The sequence below is a fragment of the Homo sapiens genome, chromosome 4 (genome assembly GCF_000001405.40).
Source record: "Homo sapiens chromosome 4, GRCh38.p14 Primary Assembly".
NCBI lineage: Eukaryota > Metazoa > Chordata > Mammalia > Primates > Hominidae > Homo > Homo sapiens.
Window position 1 is genome coordinate 98,743,437 of NC_000004.12, and position 7,380 is coordinate 98,750,816.

The window sequence follows — 7,380 nt, forward strand, 5'->3', positions numbered from 1 at the left end:
AGCTGTAGAGAAGAAGAAGTTGCAAGACCAAGTTTGTTGTAAACATAGGCTTCTAGCATTCCCTGAGCCCTCTCTGTGCATGGAGCTCTACTCTGAGCCCGAGACTTAAGGAAGAAGCTTATCCTTTCCTGGAAAGACAGGGCAAACAAAATGAGAACCCATGTTAATAGAGAAGATGGGCACATAAATAATGACTTACAGGGTAGAGCTAGGTGCTTGGGATGGCAAACCACATGGGGCAGAATACATGAATTTGACCTAAAGAGATTTTTGTGGCTCTTTTATGGCTACATTCTAGGTCAAGAGACTTCAACCAAATAGCTCTATCTTCTTCCATTAGGGCTCCTCTAACAAAAATACCTTAGACTAGTCATTTATAAACAGTAGAAACTTATTGCTCACAGTTCTGAAGGCTGAGAATTCTGAGACCAAGACTCCAGCGGATTCGGTGTCCTGTGAGGGCCCCTTCCTTATAGATGATGCATTCCAGCTGTGTCTTCACGTGGCAGAAGGGGCAGAATAAGTTCCCTCTAGCCTCTCTTATAAGAGCACTAATCCCATTCATGTGGCTCTGCCCTCATGACCTAATCACCTCCTAAAGCCCTCACCTCTTAATATTATTGCTTTGGTGATTAGGTTTCAATAATAGATTGTGGGTGAGAGAACACAAATGTTCAGACCATAGCTTCTGGGTACAGAGGAGGTCCATCATATTCAGCCTCTCTGCAGATGGCCTTACCCATGGCCCAGATGCCTCTCCAGAATCTCTGAAAAGTCATTTCATTCTGCAGGCCCTTTCTCCTCCACCTCGTCCATTTACCTATAGTACAGCTACCTGCCTTCCTAATTCCTACTGGTGGGAGCTTCAGGTGTGGGGCCCAGAGACTCTTTATGTGGAGTCAACTCATCTCAGATGGGTCTTGGTGAGAATGAGATGGTGCCAGTGTTAGCAGCAGTGAATCCGTATGGGTTTGCAGCAACTCGATTCTTGGCTCCTCAGAGGAAAGAATTCACTGGAGAGGCATAAGGCAGATTGAGAGACCAAAGCAAGTTTTAGAGCAGGAACCAAAGGAAGTAAAGTATACTTGGAAGAGGGCCAAGCAGGCAACTTGAAAGATCCAAGTGCACTTTCAGCCCTTCACTTGGAGGTTTATACATTGGCATGGTTCCAGGGTTTGTGTCTCTCCCTTGATTTTTTCCTTGGGGCAGGCTGTCTGCATGTGGTGGCCTGCCAGGACTTAGGAGGGGCTACATGTGCAGTGTGCTTACCAAAGTTTTGTGCATGTTCATTTGAGGTGTTTTTCCCTTACCAGTTCATATGGTTTGGCTGTGTCCCCACCCAAATCTCATCTTGAATTGTTGTTCCCATAATCCCCATGTGTCATGGGAGGGACCCAGTGGGAGGTAATTGAATTATGGGGGTGGTTACCCATGCTGTTCTCATGATAGTGACTTCTCATGAGATCCGATGGTTTTATAAGCATCTGGCTTTCCCCTGCCAGCACTTCTGATTCCTGCTACCCTGTGAAGAAGGATGTGTTTGCTTCCCCTTCTGGCATGATTGTAAGTTTCCTGAGGCCTCCCCAGCCATGTGGAACTGTGAGTCACTTAAATCCCTTTTGTTTATAAATTACCCAGTCTTGGGTATAATTCATAGAAGCATGACAACAGACTAATACACCAGCCGAATATTCTTAGAAGAAGTTCATATACCAGTTAAACACCACCATTTTGCCTTTTAGGGCACATGCTTGAGTCCACTTACTCAGCTCCTGAGATCTTATCAGGAAGCCGCTGATCACCCACTTCAGGTGTTTTCTATCTAATGGGAGCCTGCCTTTCTCTGGTGCCAGCTGTGTCCAATTATTATTTTAGAGTGACAGTTAACAACAACTTGAGCATCACCTGATGGTCACCTGACATTCCTTGTGGGGACCTCTCCTACCCTGCTCATGTCTGCCCAGCTACCTACTTTTACACCGGGGGTAATAGAACTAGGGTGTTTAGTACCATTAGATGCAATGACCTGTAAAGATTGACTGAGTAACTGCACATATGTCCTGTTTCCTCTTTTATCCCTAAAGCATATGTTCTCTGAGATCTCCCAATCTACTATCCACTCCCCAAGAGGGCGCTCTGGAACCAGGACACACTCAAATCACCTAGTTTTAAAAACTCTCCAGATGAGCAGTGCTGCCTCCATGATATTAACCAGTCAAATCTCCAAGAGGTCAGACTCCTGAGGTCCAGGGTCTCAGCCAACATGTGCGAGCTCCTTGGCAAGCTAACATTTTGACACTGTTTCAAATTAATATTTTAAAAATATTCTAGGATTTTCAGCTTAATGTTTGCGGGAGATGACAAAATGTTCGGGCAGATGGGTGGAGCAGGAGGACATGGATGCCAGGACTCAGCATCTCCTCTGTTGACCCAGCAATCCTGCCTTGGCTGCACCTCACTAAGGGAAACAAAAGCTTAGTGTTAATTGCACTCATCTTCCTTAGACCGTAGTTAGTTGACCAACTATTTTTATTCAAGGGTGCCTCTTAGAGGTTCTAATTCTCAATCCAAGTGGCTGTATAAGAGCTTTATTTCTTTGAACCACATGCAGTACTTTCCCTGAAAGGAATTTGGTGAGTGTAATTTTCACCTCTCATTATATTTCCAATGAGTTCTTAGTGCGCTTGCGTGCACGCATGCACACACACGATCAGGACTCCTGGAAATTGCCATATTAGTCCATGTCTTGATCTAATATTGCATGGACAGAATTTCACATGGGTCATTTGTTGTCCTAGTACTTTTTAAGTTAGCTTAGTGCAAACAAAACACAAAACTAAAATAATTTACCTCCTAAAGAATTCAGAGCAATTTAGAGAATGCATCATAAAAGATTGCTTTCAATTTTTTAAATTTTGTTTCTTTTTCAAGTTGGGGTATTGTTCTGTCACCCAGGCTGGAGTGCAATGGCACCATTATGGCTCACAGGTACCTCAAACTACTGGGCTCCCGCAATCCTTCCTCCTCAACCTCCTGCCACCTGCCACTGTGCCTGGCTAATTTTTTTTTTTTTTTTTTTTTTGGTAGAGACAGGGTCTTGCTTTGTTACCTAGGCTGGTCTCCTGGGCTGAAATGATCCTCCTACCTCAGCCTCCCAAAGTGTTGGGATTATAGGCATGAGTCACCGTGCCCAGCCCAACTCTCAAATTATATCACACAGGCAGGAAGTGTCTGATAGCAGGTGGCATAGGCTCTGTGGGACTGTTTTCTTTTAAGAAACAATCTCTCATCATCAACATGCTTGAGGCCCCAGGAAAGGTCTTTAGTGCTTTAACTTGGGCACTCTGTGTTTGTCCAGCTGCACTGACATTTCATGGTGTGGGTGAGTCAGTGGGGAAGGGAAAGGCAGCAGCCATGAGAGGCAAGCCAAGGATATGGAACCTCTGGAAAGAACCAAAAAGATCAATGGGTGTCCTGCCTTTTCACCTCCCTATCCACTGGATTCACTTGATAGTAGTAGCAGCAAAAGAGCCATCCAGTCAGTAGGGACCTGCCTGGTCTGCAACGAAAGAAGGAGGCTTTCTGGGCCCTATTTCGTCAAGAGAAGGATTTAATATTTCACTTAGCCAGACCTCCATGTTCAACTGAAGGACAGACATCCCCGTGGATGTCTAAGCAGACATTTATCCTGGCAGCTGTGGGGCCAGATTCCTGGACTTTATGACTCAGGCTTTTTCAAAAGCAAAAAAACACTACAAGAGAAGGCCCTCATTATTTAAAAAGAATTAAGGATTCCCAGTTCAGGCAAGTCTTCCAGGGTCCTAAACTGGGGATCAGTCAGGTGAATTCAGCCAGTGATTGGTTTGGTTCACACAACGTTTTATTTTTTATTTTTAATTGGCAACCCCTGCACAAAGCAACAATACTGGAGGTAGGGTTTCAGGATTTAGACTGAGGCCCACAAGTGTTTTCTGAGCACTCTGGATGGGCAGGCTCTCTGATAGGCCGGTTCTCTGATAGGCCAGTCTTCCGGTCACTCACTCTAGTCCTGCCCAGTGACCTTGAAATAAATTGCAGCGCAAAATAGCAGAGTGCCCCACCTTCAGAGTGTTTGAGACTTTCCCCTCCTGAGTGGAAACACGGAGGCTCAGAGCAAGATTAGGAGAATCAGTCTTGGCAACAGATAAAGGGATCAATGGAAGAAGGAGCAGCTGAGGCCTGGGGAAATTTACATAAGCCTGCTAGAAGTAGGGGCTCAGAGCCTCAGAAGGGACAGTAAGAAACCAGACCAAAGGAAAACATCTGTAATGAGCTGTGAGGACCAGTGAGCTGCAGAGGTCAGAGCAGGCACCTCCCCACCTACAGAACAATCAAGCAGTTGCCAAAGCAAACCTTTCTGCAGTTGGGATTTATTTTATTGTCATTCTTCCCTTCCCATGGCTGCTGAGCCTTTGAAGTAATCCTCAGCGTGAAAAGATAGGAGGATGTGCACATAAGAGGCCCTTTGAAAAAGCCTTAGGGAAAGTAGCCAAGCTCCGGAGGGAGCAATTGTAAAGTGACTAGAACAAGGAAGTAGGGAAGGACTGTGGGGAGACCAGGCGGGTAGCTTAAAACCCTTGCCATAGCAAGCCTTTTTTAAGTGGCAAGCCAGAAGGCCCAGCCCAGTGGGCCTCAGCCAGCACTTGGGCTCATGGTCCTATTTCAGCATGAAATTCATTCCTGTGACTGCAAGGGAGCCGAACAGTACAACGATCTTAATGACTGTATTGCAAACCACAAAGGATCTATGTTCATGAATAAGCAATAATCAGCTGAAAACATATTATGTTTACCACAAAAAAAAAAGGCGGAAAGAGCACAAAATCTAGTGAGTAAAGTGTAGGCAGCAGATAGTAATGTGGTAGCCGATGTTCATCCCCTTGACCACTCTCATCAGGCCCAGAGACATGGTGCTTACATTTGCTCCAGTGGAGACTGGATAGAAAGAGTAGAGATGCAAAGAAAAAAACAACCTTAGCTTTTTAGGGAAAACACTAAGGGCTCTGGCATAAAACTGGAGAGATTACAGGGGGTATGTGAATATACAGAGCAGGTACCTCATCTGCTCTGCCATCATGACCAATAAAGAGCTTTGAGCCAGAGAGAGGGAAAAGAGTTTGCAGTCAAGGAAAATTATAAATTATAGCATGAAGTCCCTGTACTGTGCTTCTATACCCTGGAATACATCCTGGGGGAAGAGTGACCAGATGCCCCATGAAACATGAAGAGATCCAAGGCAGAGAGAACTCATGTCCTGTTCTTCATCTGGATATTTGATGTCTGTTTGGAGAAGGCCAACAGGAAAATGGTATGGAAGATCTAACCACCAGAGGGCCAATAGCTGACCCCATGTTCCTAGTGGCTTCCAAGTGCCCCAGAAGATTTTGCAGGTAACTGAGAGAGAAAGAGAGGAGCAGTGCTGCTCCAGGATTGCTTGGGTCAAAGTGAAGATCCAAGAAGTAGGAGACCTGGATTACGAGACTTGTGTCAGTGATGGGAGAAAGTTGCGGCTGCAGTCTTGGAGGCATCCTCAGCTCCGTGGTGCTAAGTGGGAGCAGAATGGACACTCATATGAAGATGGGCTCTCACCATCTGTAGGAGTAAGCACCATGGGCTGTGCGCACCAAGAACAAGGCTGGTCCAGGTGACGTGGGATGGGGTGGGGGCTGTGATAGGAGACCAGAGTGGACCCATTTTCCTCCTCTGGTGGCTTCAGTGGGATTTTCCATAAGCCTCCAGGAGTTTAGGATAGACACCACAAAAAGGGGAGGAAGAAAACCCTGAGGAAGGGGGAATATAACTGAATTTCCAATTAGAAGATACTGGAAAGTTACTGGCTGGGGCTGAGAAGACCCAGAAAGTAGCATTTGGAATATGATGATGAGAGCTGGCACAGCTCTGGGAACTAATACCACTCAGGGTCCCTAGGGAAAGTGGAGGAAGTACTTAAGTAAGAGAAAAGACAAATTAACTTGTCAGAGCCATCTGTTAGGTAGCTCTAATGCAGTAGATTCTTGCATAATGAAGTATCATTTAGTAGTAGTGGTGAGTGCCCACTTTCTTGCTTCTTTTCAGATTCCATTTGGTGGATGCAAAAGTATTCACAGATTAGCACAGTATTTGCAACAGTGGCACATGAGGACAAAGGTCATGTTGCAGTATTAAACAATGTATATTGTTCTTAAATGTGTAGCATGTGGTTCTAGGTTGGTGGTTCTAGGGACTCCTCAAGTCCCCAGAGCCTTTTAGGGTCTGTGAGATCGAACTGTTTTTTCTTAGGACAGTATTTGCCTTTTTTTTCTCATGGTTTCATAGGTGTACAGTGGAGTTTTCTAGAGGCTGTAAGACACATTATGCCATTATTGCTCTGATAGCTAATGGTGTCTATATTAATGTATTCTTGTGTTTTAGGAACTTCCCAGTATTAATTCTAAGATATAAATATCGATAAAGTATTCCATGTAAACAAAGGCTATTTGGAGTTCTCAGTAATTTTTGTAGTTTAAAGGAATCATGAAACCAAAAGTTTTTAGAATGCCTGCTCAAAGTACGATACCAATTCTCTGTATTGGCAGCTTGATAGACATTAAGCACTAGAACTGCAAATTACATCCTTTTTATTTTTTTTGAGACGGAGTCTTGCTCTGTCACCCAGGGTGGAGTAAAGTGGCGTGATCTCAGCTCACTGTAACCTCCACCTCCCGGGTTCAAGCGATTCTCCTGCCTCAGCCTCCTGAGTAGCTGGGATTACAGGTGCCCACCACCATGCCTGGCTAATTTTTGTATTTTTAGTAGAGATAGGGTTTCACCATGTTGTCCAGGCTGGTCTCAAACTCCTGACCTCAGGTGATCTGCCCACCTCGGCCTCCCAAAGTGCTGGGATTACAGGCGTGAGCCACCATGCCTGGCAATGATGTCATTTTTAATAAAAGTATTTAATATGATTTGATTACATGTATTAAAAAATTGAAAATCTAGACATATTTAAATAAATTTGATTTTTAAAAATGTTAGTCATTTTATGAACAGATACTTCTCAAAAGAAGACATACAAGCAGCCAACAAACATATAAAAAAGTGCTCAGCATCACTAATCATCAGAGAAATGCAAATCAAAACCACAGTGAGATACCATCTCACACCAGTCAGAATGGCTATTATTAAAAAGCCAAAAAACACCAGATGCTGGTGAGGCTTTGGAGAAAAACACTTGAACACTGTTAGTAGGAATGTGAATTACTTCAGCCACTGTGGAAAGCAGTTTGGAGATTTCTCAAAGAACTTGGAGCTGCCATTCAACCCAGTAATCCCATTACCCAAAAGAAAGTAAATCGTTCTACC

General features: G+C 44.4%; 2 annotated features.

Moving 5' to 3' along the window:
• Window positions 4,019-4,569: an enhancer, noted in NCBI's record as "NANOG-H3K27ac hESC enhancer chr4:99668606-99669156 (GRCh37/hg19 assembly coordinates)". NCBI's record gives its function as "activates a minimal SCP1, AML or CMV promoter by ChIP-STARR-seq in primed H9 embryonic stem cells {active_cell/tissue: H9 hESC(primed)}" and the evidence as "EXISTENCE:reporter gene assay evidence [ECO:0000049][PMID:30033119]".
• Window positions 4,570-5,120: an enhancer, noted in NCBI's record as "NANOG-H3K27ac hESC enhancer chr4:99669157-99669707 (GRCh37/hg19 assembly coordinates)". NCBI's record gives its function as "activates a minimal SCP1, AML or CMV promoter by ChIP-STARR-seq in primed H9 embryonic stem cells {active_cell/tissue: H9 hESC(primed)}" and the evidence as "EXISTENCE:reporter gene assay evidence [ECO:0000049][PMID:30033119]".